General features: G+C 39.2%; 1 protein-coding gene across 3 annotated transcripts in view; it reads right to left on the bottom strand.

The window, feature by feature from the left end:
• The window catches only part of PAPSS1 (3'-phosphoadenosine 5'-phosphosulfate synthase 1), a 106,569-nt gene that overhangs the window by 62,736 nt on the left and 30,919 nt on the right, over positions 1–12,914 (bottom strand). For all 3 annotated transcript variants that reach the window (NM_005443.5, XM_011532401.2, XM_011532400.3), the window contains exons 4-5: positions 10,638–10,776; positions 5,614–5,732 (exon numbers count right to left, since the gene is read on the bottom strand). In NM_005443.5, the coding sequence (NP_005434.4) occupies positions 5,614–5,732; positions 10,638–10,776 (258 nt within the window). The remainder of the gene's footprint in view (positions 1–5,613; positions 5,733–10,637; positions 10,777–12,914) is intronic.

Consider the following 12,914-nt stretch of genomic DNA (forward strand, 5'->3'; position numbering starts at 1 on the left):
AGAGCCAAATCATGAGTGAACTCCCATTCACAATGGCTTCAAACAGAATAAAATACCTAGGAATCCAGCTTACAAGGGATGTGAAAGACCTCTTCAAGGAGAACTATAAACCACTGCTCAATGAAATAAAAGAGGATACAAACAAATGGAAGAACATTCCATGCTCATGGGTAGGAAGAATCAATATCATGAAAATGGCCATACTGCCCAAGGTAATTTATAGATTCAATGCCATCCCCATCAGGCTACCAAGAACTTTCTTCATAGAATTGGAAAAAACTACTTTAAAGTTCATATGGAACCAAAAAAGGGCCCACATTGCCAAGTCAATCCTAAGCCAAAAGAACAAAGCTGGAGGCATCACACTACCTGACTTCAAACTATACTACAAGGCTACAGTAACCAAAACAGCATAGTACTGGTACCAAAACAGAGATATAGACCAATGGAACAGAACAGAGCCCTCAGAAATAATGCCACATATCTACACCCATCTGATCTTTGACAAACATGACAAAAATAAGAAATGGGGAAACGATTCCCTATTTAATAAATGGTGCTGGGAAAACTGGCTAGCCATATTTAGAAAGCTGAAACTGGATCCCTTCCTTACACCTTATACAAAAATTAATTCAAGATGGATTAAAGACTTAAATGTTACACCTAAAACCATAAAAACCCTAGAAGAAAACCTAGGCAATACCATTCAGGACATAGGCATGGGCAAGGACTTCATATCTAAAACACCAAAAGCAATGGCAACAAAAGCCAAAATTGACAAATGGGATCTAATTAAACTCAAGAGCTTCTGCACAGCAAAAGAAACTACCATCAGAGTGAACAGGCAACCCACAAAATGGGAGAAAATTTTTGCAATCTACTCATCTGACAAAGGGCTAATATCCAGAATCTATAAAGAACTCAAATAAATTTACAAGGAAAAAACAAACAACCCCATCAAAAAGTGGGAGAAGGATATGAACAGGCACTTCTCAAAAGAAGACATTTATGCAGCCAAAAGACACATGAAAAAATGCTCATCATCACTGGCCATCAGAGAAATGCAAATCAAAACCACAATGAGATACCATCTCACACCAGTTAGAATGGCGATCATTAAAAAGTCAGGAAACAACAGGTGCTGGAGAGGATGTGGAGAAATAGGAACACTTTTACACTGTTGGTGGGACTATAAACTAGTTCCACCATTGTGGAAGTCAGTGTGGCAATTCCTCAGGGATCTAGAACTAGAAATACCATTGGACCCAACAATCCCATTACTGGGTATATACCCAAAGGACTATAAATCATGCTGCTATAAAGACACATGTACACGTATGTTTATTGTGGCACTATTCACCATAGCAAAGACTTGGAACCAACCCAAATGTCCAACAATGATAGACTGGATTAAGAAAATGTGGCACATATACACCGTGGAATACTATGCAGTCATAAAAGATGATGAGTTCATGTCCTTTGTAGGGACATGGATGAAGCTGGAAACCATCATTCTCAGCAAACTATCGCAACGACAAAAAACCAAACACCACACGTTCTCACTCATAGGTGGGAATTGAACAATGAGAACACATGGACACAGGAAGGGGAACATCACACACCGGGGCCTGTTGTGTGGCTTGGGGAGTGGGGAGGGATAGCATTAGGAGATACACCTAATGTTAAATGACGAGTTAATGACTGCAGCACACCAACATGGCACATGTATACATATGTAACTAACCAGCACGTTGTGCACATGTACCCTAAAACTTAACGTATAAAAAAGAAAAAAAAATCAAGTTGCCATTTAAGTATTAGCTGAATGTAAAAAATAAAAAAAATAAGAGATGGAATTAATATCTATGTCTAGAACTAGAATTTTATGCAAATTTCTAAGAAAACGATACACAACAGCAACAGAGTAAAAGTGAAGAGAAAGGGTAGACAATGCATTGAAAACAAAACACAGAGATTCCAAAAGAGAGCATCACCTAACAAGTGAAAAGGCCAGCCAATCTACAATCATAAACTTTCTTGAGCCCATTGCAGAGCTGAGGTGAAAAAAAGCAGTGAGATGAACTGCTTCCGAAGAGTGACAAGTCCCACCAAGAAAAGACCAGGCACATGAACTGCTTACCTTTAGCAGAACATGGGAGGAAGAGGTAGTTGCAATAAAGGCAGGTAAGAGGAAAACAGCTAAAATGTCTTTAAAACTTTTAAAGGCTGAGTGTAGACTAGTGTGACAGGCTTAGTACAATGGGGGACCGGGGGGTACCAGACACAAGGGGTCCTGCACTCACTCACAAGCATGCCTATGGCAGGTGCTCAAAACATAAATCAGGAGCAGGTCTAGAGACTAAAAAAAGTCTTCCTCAGTGGGGCACAGGCAAAAAAACTATGCTCACTCACCAGACCCTTCTTTCATATCCACAAAAGCCTTAAGCTAATGAAAAAGGAAAGGAAACCCTCAAACCTTCCCAGGGTCCTCTGTTTCTGGGTGAGGGGTGGAAGCAAATATGGTCTGCCACAAAGGAGGAGATGAAGGAAACCCTTTTGGGCCCAAGATCCTGCATTCATACAAACCAGGTAGCCAGTACAAAACAGATATAAAACATGCTAATGCATGTGAGGAAAAGAAAACTCCCCTCCAAGCCTCCCAGGGTGAAAGCAGAGATTAGCTGTTATGCAGGGAGGGGAAGGAGCACTGAGAAAAACCCACCTCAAGACTCAGGAGCACAGGTCACGCCTAAGACTGAAGGTGGGCCAGGAAACTGAGAATCATCACCACTTCGCAGTCATGAGCCTAGCACCAAGTGATAAGCCACAGCAGTATGCTGCTGAGAGACAAGCAGGAGGAAGACTCCTTCTGTGGTACAGGCATACAGGGAACACTGAGGATGAAGCAGGAACACTAAGAAAAACCCATGAGCAGGCCAGGCCCCACACTAAGTACAAGGTAAAAGAGCCCACCACTACAGAAATTTGAAGCCTCTGGTGCATTAAGAATAACTTCATAAGGAATAAGGACAGCCAAATCCAGCTGAGGGCTAAATCAACCTACTACAGTAACAGTATGACAGAAAATGAAACATGCCCATGACATAAACACTACCTCAATCTCTACTGTACATCTAGACACAGTGTCCAGCATTCACAAAAAATTACAAGATACACCAAGAAAGCAAGAAAAACTACCCACTGTCAAGAGATATGACAAAGAAATCTCAACAAAATGAGATTCAGAAATAACACACATGTTCAAACCATGAGGCAGGACTTTTTTTTTTTTTTTGAGACAGAATCTCGCTCTGTCACCCAGGCTGGAGAGCAGTGGCGCAATCTCGGCTCACTGCAACTTCCACCCCCCCAGATTCAAGCACTCCTCAAGATAGGACTTTTTAACTGGGATTAAGTTAAAGGATCTAATGAAAAAGTGGACAGCATGCATGGAGAGATGGAGAATTTCAACAGAAAAATGAATACTATCAAAAAAAAGTCAAATAATGACAGAATTGTTTTTTAATGATTATCAGAGTTTAAAAATTCTTTCTATGAGCCTATCAATATATTGGATACAGCTAAGGAATCAGCAAACATAAAAATCAGAAATTATCAAAGCTAAAATGTTAACAGAAAAGGGATGAAAGAAACAGAGCATCTAAAAACTGTGGGACAACATATTATTCAACATATGTGTAACTAGAGTCCCAGAAGAAGAGTGAAAAAGGCAAAAGAAATATTTCACATGATAATGGCCAAGAATTTTCAAAAACTAATGAAAAAAATATATATCTACCCAAGCAGGTTGGGGAATTCTAAACAGTAAGAAAAAAGACCTAAATCTACTACAAGACCTAGACACATGATATTAAACCCACTAAAATCCAAGGAGTACCACAAAATCTTAAATTCAGACATGAAAAAAAAATCACATAGAGGAACAAAGAAAAGAATTACATTAGACTTCTCATCAGAAATGAAGCAAGTTAAAAAAAAATGGAACATCTTTAAAGCACTAAAAGAAAAAACAATCTGTCATGCAGAATTCTATGCCCAGTAAAAGTATTTTCTAAAAATGAACAAACAGATGAGAAAGCCCCTGTGCCTCCCAGTATGCCACAGACATAACTGAAATCATGATTTCTAACACACTTCCTAGGAGTTAAACACTCTTATGTCTGTTTCTATCACTTATAATGTAAATCCCTCAAGGATGGAGGCACAGCTGATAAATCTTTGCATTACTAGAGCCTAGGACTATAACTACAGTGGTGGGCTTTTAATCAATGTGTGGTTGATGATGGAAGATGAAAGAATGGATGCTGGGACAGCTTTGGAGAGATAAGGAGGAAGCTACAAGTAGAACAATAGGATTAGAATAAGAGTGCAGAAGTCAGTTAAAAAGAAACCTAGAAGGCAGAGATGATGAAGCATAAAACCTCCTGGGATGTCTCAGTGGCCTGCAAATAATGATACCTGATCAGTAAATACAAAGAAAAACATCAGAGCAGTATCGATTTACATTATTTCTATATATTCAGCTACAATGTTTGGATAAAATAAATAAATTAGGAAGGAAAGTCCCAAGTTACCTACCTGGTAGATATTTTATAATGTGGAAAAACTCAAAGGCTAAACATTTATAATATATTCAGACAAAGAAATTTTTTTAAAGTTGTATGTCTAATATATCCAGTAAGATACACTAGATGAAAGAGGTTTATAAAATACACTAGATGAAAGAGGTTTATTACAGGATTTTGCAGATTAAGAGGGGGTTCAAACTCCAAAACCCACAGTTAGGACAGAATGAGGAAAGATGATGTCTTTTTCTGTGTACCCCTAGGTCAGGACTGAATAGCAAAGGGGGGAATGCATGACAAGGTGACAGGGTAATCACTGACCCAAGACCTCCACCCACATAGAGGCCAGATCCTCTTCAACTACAGTGAACTATGTGACCCTCCAATGAAATGGGGAAAGGGGATTGAGGGTAGTATGGACAAAACACAAGGGAAAGAAAACTTCTAAAAACCCAGACTAAAGTCTGAAGGAACCGTGCACTTGTTAGTGGGCCTGAGTACCCTGGAGAACCCCAAGCCTCTTCATGCCTCCATATGCCCAGGCACCCAAAGGTCCTTATGTCCTAGAAACTTACATCCTCCACAGGTCCCTCTCTAGAATCCACCCATAAGGAGATCATCATGTTATCACAAGGAAAATGTGGGCACTCTAAATATCTAAGAAAAGTTAACAACTTTGTATACCTCAAATGGAAAAATATAATACTATCAAGTTACAGGACTGAACAATCATGGCTGGATTTTCTGTTAGGTATTTTTCTGTGGCAAAATTACTGGTAAAGTACAAGACTGACTCCTAAGCCTCCTGAGGTTTATACTGACGGGGATATTTCACATACTGTACATTCACGGTGCTCCCCACAACACCTCACACACTGACATACAGACACAGAACACTGTTGGCATTTCGAAGCATTTAAAATACAAATGTTACTCAATATTAACACCACCATTTTTTTTTGGAGGGGAAAGATTATGAGAGAGATATAATTTTTCTCTGATGATTCCTTCTTTCATCCTCTCTTACCCGTTCCTGTAGAAGTTCCACAACTTGCTGGACACAGTCATTTACATCACAGGAGTCTGTTTTCAGCACCAACTCAGGGGCCTCTGGCTTTTCATATTCAGAATCGATCCCAGTGAAACCTGCAAAAGGTAACAGATAATAGAGTAGGGTGGAAAATAAAATTAAAATAGTTTATTTTTTCAGTGCAGATCTCTGCTACATTGAAGTTAGTATCTGCGCTGTCCCCCAAGCCACAGGGCTATAGTAATGAAGCATCTTTCTTGGGAGATTTCTAATTAAACTTTTTTTTTTCCTGCACTGGGGGCCATTTTAAACTGTAAAACTACCTAAAATACCACAAAAATGTAAAAAATGTGACACCAAATAGGCTGCAATAAGAATAATTGTTTATGGTTTGAGAACTAAAACCAGAAGGCAAAGTGCTGCCTTGTTTATTTTCGCTGGGAACTGTGTCAGGTGTGTCGGACGTGTTGCACTGACCATGAAAGTGCCAGGAGTACTGATGTGGAGATTACAAATAAATTTTGTCAAGTAGGCAAATTCATAAATATCAAATCCACAAATAGTAAGAATCAATTCTACTACTTTTGTCACCTTTTTTCTTTCTTTTTTGTCTTAAGAAAATGCCCAAGCTGCCTGTGAAGATATATGGAATTAATACCAGGTGATCCAAGGCATCTCAATTCTCTACAGGACATGGACATAAAACCAAACCTGACAAGATTATTTTTTTCTCAATGCAAAAACTAACACTAAGTCAATCTGTCCAGTACATTCACAAGAATTATCTGTGGCCAAATTGAAGCTCTGCAGGCTTCTTCTGCCATCAGATAACAAGTTTTAAGACAAATGAACTACTATTTGCTTAAACTAAACATAAACAAGGATAGTAAATAGATCACAAAATAAATTACACAATCACATATAATTTTAGTATTAACCACTATTTAGATTTTTCCTATGGTATATGTGTTACCATATAACTGCTAAGAAAAGAGCAAATAGACGACAATTTCCCAGAGAGGGTTATCTGAGTTAAAGATACGCTATTCCTATCTTATACCCCTGACCTTACCCCACACGTAAGTCATTCAAGGCTTGTCTATCTCGGAAAGCTTAGGTCATTCTTAGGTTAGAATGGTATGCATGAATTTAAAATCATTACCATTAATATTAAAAAATACAGCTAGCAAAAGAGTTCAAAAATATATACTACAAACCTACAGCCCATTTATTTCATTTTTTTTCTATTTCCTATTTCTAAGCATCCCCTGCAGCCCTGAACTCAAGAAAAAATTTCTGCGTTACCGGTATTCCCATTTAGCAGTGGGTCACAAGAAAATGGCTGGGAAAAAAAAAAATAATTCTGATTAAGAACACTAACTGTTAAGCTCTGATTCTCAAATGCGGTGATATACTGGAATCACCAGGTCCCACCCCATGAGATTGATTTCACTAGTCTGGGGTACAGCCTTGGCACTGGATTTTTTAAAGTTCCCAAGGAAATGCTTACATGCAGCAAAGCTTGACAAGCACTGGGTTAGAAGAGGTGGCTTAACATTTTAGAAGCCCTGGAGTTCTCCTACTAGATAATTTATCCATAAGTGATTACAATAATAAATGTAAATTGTGAGAAAAAACATATTTAAGCAGGTAATAAAAACTATCTTAAGCAGTCATCATGAAAATAATTGAGATTATCAGAATGGTTAATACAAGGATATACTGACTGTCCGATAAATGTCATGTAAAGGTCTATAAAAGCCTGAGGCCCCCTGAATATACACAATCTTGTCTGTGCTGGAATATATACCATTACAGCTTTGAAATAGAGTTGATAGGGAACTTGCTAAGCATCATTTACAAGTAAAAGCTTTTTAAAAAAATAAGCAACTCTATAATCAGGAACTCCAGCACCATGGCAAACCTAAGTATCAGTGTATGCATACAGACACACACACAAACACACATTAACCTAAGGAACATTTTATCAACCTCTACTCAGGGGAATGTAGTCAACAACAGGGGAATGTAGTCAACAGTTGAGAAAGTAAACAAGAAACTGGACTAATACAAACACACTCCCAGTTATAGAGTACAAACTGTAAGAGACCCAAGAGCATTGTGGACAAGGTCTTATTCATCTTTGAATACTTGGCACCAAATACATACCTTGCAAATAGAAAGCTGAGGACTAAACTCTGATTTTTTATCTTGCCCAAATTCCTATCTAAGGGGCCTGGGGAGTCATGCCCTACAAACCACAAATTTTCATCAGATAGGTTTTATTTAACCCTATATATCATGACTTCTTTTCCAACCTGACTCTGGCATAACATTGCAAGACAAGAAGAAAATCAAAATATTTTCATCAAAACATGTTTCTTTGCCATATTTTGAAATGGCCCTGCAAAGCTGTTCTTTGTGGGGGAAAATTTGCACCTTTAAAGAATCTTTATTAACAAAACTATATTTTTTTCTTCCAGACCCTCCCAATCCTAAAGAGATTAAGATCTGAATGGGGACATTTGTCATCTATTGTCTCTAAGGGTAGCCACTGTAAGACCTCAAAAGAACTTTGGTCTCCACAATCTTTATCTTAACCTGAACAATTCCCTTTCTATCAATCCCAGTTCTTCAGACAAACTCAACCAATTGTCAACCAGAAAACATTTAAACTCACCTATAGCCTAGAAGCTCCCCGCACCACCTGGCTTTGAGTTGTCCCACCTTTCTGGACCAAACCAATGTATTTGATTGATGTCTCATGCCTCTCTAAAATGTATAAAACCAAGCTGTGCCTCAACGACCTTGGGCACATGTTCTCAGGACCTCCTGAGGGCTGTGTCACGGGCCATGGTCAATCGTATTTGGTTCAGAGTAAATCTCTTCAAAAATTTTTTTTTTTTTAGATGGAGTCTCGCTCTGTCGCCCAGGCTAGAGTGCAGTGGCACAATTTCGGCTCACTGCAAGCTCTGCCTCCTGTGTTCACGCCATTCTCCTGCCTCAGCCTCCTGAGTAGCTGGGACTACAGGCGCCCGCCACCATGCTGACTAATTTTTTGTATTTTTAGTAGAGACGGGGTTTCACCGTGTTAGCGAGGATGGTCTCGAATCTCTTCAAATATTTTACAAGAGTTCAACTCTTTTTGTCGCCAAAGCATTGGCAAATGTGTGTTCAACATTCCACTCCCACTCCACCTTCTCATCCATCCAACAAGCATTAACTATGTGTGTGACAGGTGTATGCTTTGGGCAATGTACTGTGCTAAATTCTAAACACACACAAGTGTTCACTATGATCTCCCTGCTCACAAGTAGCCTACTCCAGCCAGGATGACAAACCTTCCTCCCTCACCAATCCATTCTTTCAAAAACAACAAAATCAACTAAAATTAAAGTAAGTAAAAGGTTTAGACTTTATTTAGGATCCTGGACACACCATTTTGCTTTTCTGTGCCAAATTTCTACACAAAGACTGAAGTGAAAACTGGCCATTGAGAGAGTAATATGGGAGCTGAAGGGCTAAACAGGTTTTCCTCCAATTGTCATAATTATTCTGGTTAAGCAGCCTGATCTTTCTGAGTCAAGAAAGTAACAGCTTAATGAGGTAGAGGGTTGACAGGCAGCAGTCCCCATCAAGGAGCTGATTCTCCATAGTGGCATTACCGGAGGTCAGCCTTGCCCATGGAACTAATGCTACTACAGCAGATGGAACCTGACCTAATTGCCAAAGCATTCCCAGGTTCAAATACAGAAGAACCCAGAATAACTACCATTTTCCTTCCCACTGTATCTTTTTGTTTTCAGGGCCAGAAACTGAATGCCAAAATCTATCTCTGAGAGAGCTCCTGGGAGTTTCTGTGACAGTCTCAGGTTATCACATTCCCTGCTGGGAAGGCAAACTTAAAAGTTACCTGCATGACTCACTGATCCCTAAACAATGGTATCTTTAGTTAGTTTTTTTGTTTGTTTTGTTTCGTTTTGTTTTTGTTTTGTTTTTGCCAGCAAGTCCTTTGTTTCTGTTAACAATAATGGAACAGGACAAGTCAAGGGATGTCTACAAGATAAATAGTATGATTAATATCAAAGGCCAGAGCAGAGTTGGGTTCTAAATTTCTCCCTCAATGTCTAAATGTCCATCACAGTTGAAACTCTGGGAAGCGGACCATAAAACCTAAAAAGCAAGGTGTAGAGCTGTCCCTTGGTAATCATGCGGATTTGTTCCCGGACTCCCTGTGAACACCAAAATGTGAGGATGTGCAAGTCCCTTACATAAAATGGTGTACTATTTGCATATAACCTATGTTCATTCTTTTATATACTTTAAATCATCTCTAGATTACTTATAATACCTAGTACAATGTAAATGTTATATAAATAGATGTTATACTATATTTGTTATTTATACTATTTTTAAATTGCTGTATTATTTTATACTGTTTCTTCTGGAATATATGCAATTCACGGTTGGTTGAAACCACACATGTGGAATGCACAGATGTGGAGGGTCAGCTGTATATATTTTAACAGAATCAGTGATATGTTAATTCAATCTAATTCAACAATAGTACATGAAATGAATAAGGGACCATTCCAAGGATCGTAATAAAGTACAAGGCATTATCCTTATCATCAAGATGCTTATAATTCAGGCATTTTTTCCAATAGCTATGGGATTTCCTCCATTTTCCCTGGAACAAAGAAAGTAGAATTGGTGGCAGCAGGCAACTGATGTCCAACTTAATGTTAGGCACCTAATTTTATCAAGTAGGTTTTCGCCAACTCCCGAGCCCCAACTCTGGCTAGTGAACAGGATTCCAAAAGGATCAACAAGACTCATTTAGTCCAGCACCAGGCACTGCTGCTATGCCTGAGAGATAGAACAGTGTAATAAGACTACATTCTCTCCTCAAGGAGCTCCAAGTCACTCTAACACTTCCAATCTCTTAGAAAATATCAATCCTAGATATGGGAACATAAAATATCTAAGCAAAGTGAAACTGGGAAGAAAATATTACTGACCTTTAATTTCTCCTGCCCGGGCTTTTTTGTAGAGTCCTTTGACATCCCTCTGTTCACAAACATGCAGAGGAGCATCAACAAATACTTCAAAAAACGGTAAACTTGCACCTTCATGAATTTGCCTTGCATTGTTGCGATCCTTAAAAAAAAATAAAATAAAAAGTGATCACACAAATCACAAACGTACTATATTAATATTAAAGATGAGTAAAAAGTGCTTCTCATCCAATTTAGTGGGAAATAGACAAAATTTATGTTTTTAAATATAAACTGAAAAAAAAATCCAAGAAATTATTAGGTTAATTCCTATTATTCATGACAATTTTAAAAGGCATACTGTTCTACTAACCCAGGATATTGGGGAGGTACAGAAGGAAAACAATGAATGTACCACAAACTTTTTCACTCAAATTCTACGTGGATCCTGAGCCAAAGCCCAGCCTGAATGCTGGTGTCATCAGGCTTCTCTCTAATATCACATTCAAACCCAGCCTGAGCTGGCATGAAAGCAATTTCACAAAAAAGATCCATTCAGAATCCTGAGGCTAGTTTACTTCTTTGCCAAATGCAAGCCCCCTGCAGCCACTTCTCCTCTCTAACACTCCCCAAACTTAACTTTTCTGCTCCTAACTCCCAACTCTCTAGTAACCACCCTTGCAGCTCCCTCTAAGCCCTCTCCACTCTGTCCTTTGGAACAATGTTTCCTTTGTAAATCAACCTTTTCTTCTTTCTGGTCTTCAAAACCTGATTCTCCCTTTGCTCCACATTTATACTCCATTAATCAAAGTGCAGTTGCCAATATTTTCAAAGCTGGTCCCTGCAATTTCTACCATCCTTTTTCCACACAGCTCATTTTAGCATTTGCCATCTTCCTTATGGTCCCTCTGACAATCCTCACCTACTTCCACTCTCACCAGATTACCATACTTCATGTTTCAAAAAAAAAAAAAAAACAAATCTCCAAGAATAAGCTCTCAATCTCTTCTCTTTCAAGCAAAATCTCTTCTCTGTCATACAAATTTATCTACATACTAATGATCCTTTTCTCCCTGCCACTCCTACCTTCACATACTAGGAATTCCCTCCCCTTTCATGAACTCCTACAGGACCTGTTCAACCCATTCTCTCTACTCCACCTGAAATCTTCAGCATTCCCCCTTTGCTGGGTTCCCTGCTCCCCAGCAACAAACAAGTACAAGTCCATTTAAAACAAATGAACTGCTAAGGGAAGTTCACCCATTTAAAACAAAACAACTGCTAAGGGCAGTGGTGTAGCACGCTTATAGTCCCAGCTACTTGGGGAGGCTGAGGCAGGAGAATCACTTGAGCCCAGGGGTTCCAGGCTGTAACACACTACAATTGTGCCTGTGAATAGTCACTACACTCCAGGCTGAGTGACAGAGTGAGATCTTGTCTCTAAAAAAATTTTCAGCATAATGAACTAACAAATCATATAAAAACTTTCCCTTAACCATAGGTCCTTTTCAGTATTTAAAATACCAGGCCTCTTTGCTGCTTTCCCACTGCTATGCCTATGGATGCCTATAATGTTATTCCCTGATCTTTCCTAGGCAGACTCCTCCTGGGCTCCTCCTATTTCACCCATCCCTTAACACTGGAGTTGCCCACACTCCCATCACAGCCCACTGCTCACCTTACACAGTTCTTGAGCGTTTCTCTCAAGTGCCTTCACAGTATAAACTACAACACATACATCAACACTGAAGCTTGAACCCTGACCTCTGTCCTGAAATTAAACACACATGTCCAAATTCTTCCTATGTCCACCTGGATATATCACAGGTGCCAAAAACTAAGCATGTCCAAAACTAAATCCAGTCCCTTTTCTCTCAAGTTTACATTCTCTCATATGCTTCCCAAATCAAGGAAGACCACACTACACACCCACAATCCTAAGAGTGGTTCCTTCCCTTTCCCATACATTAATTCAGTCACAAAGTCCTTCAGATGTTACTTCTAAATATTACACCAACCCAGTTTGCAATCTTTCCCTATTCCCTAGTTCAACCTCACTTCTCTTGTCTGAACGGCCTCAACATATTACAGGTCTTCTGGCTTCTAACTCGGATCTGCTCAAAGCCATAATCTACACTGTGGCAAAGGATGCAAATCTGACCATCCTACTGAACTCTTCAGAGACTCTCTGCCACTACTGGGGTAAAATCCGAGTTTCTTAATGTGAGGCATCAGCCCTATACCTGGCCCCACCATTCTCAGTCTTGCACTTGATGCTCTATTGATAATACCTGCCTGGTC

Source organism: Homo sapiens, chromosome 4, assembly GCF_000001405.40.
Source record: "Homo sapiens chromosome 4, GRCh38.p14 Primary Assembly".
Classification (NCBI taxonomy): Eukaryota; Metazoa; Chordata; class Mammalia; order Primates; family Hominidae; genus Homo; species Homo sapiens.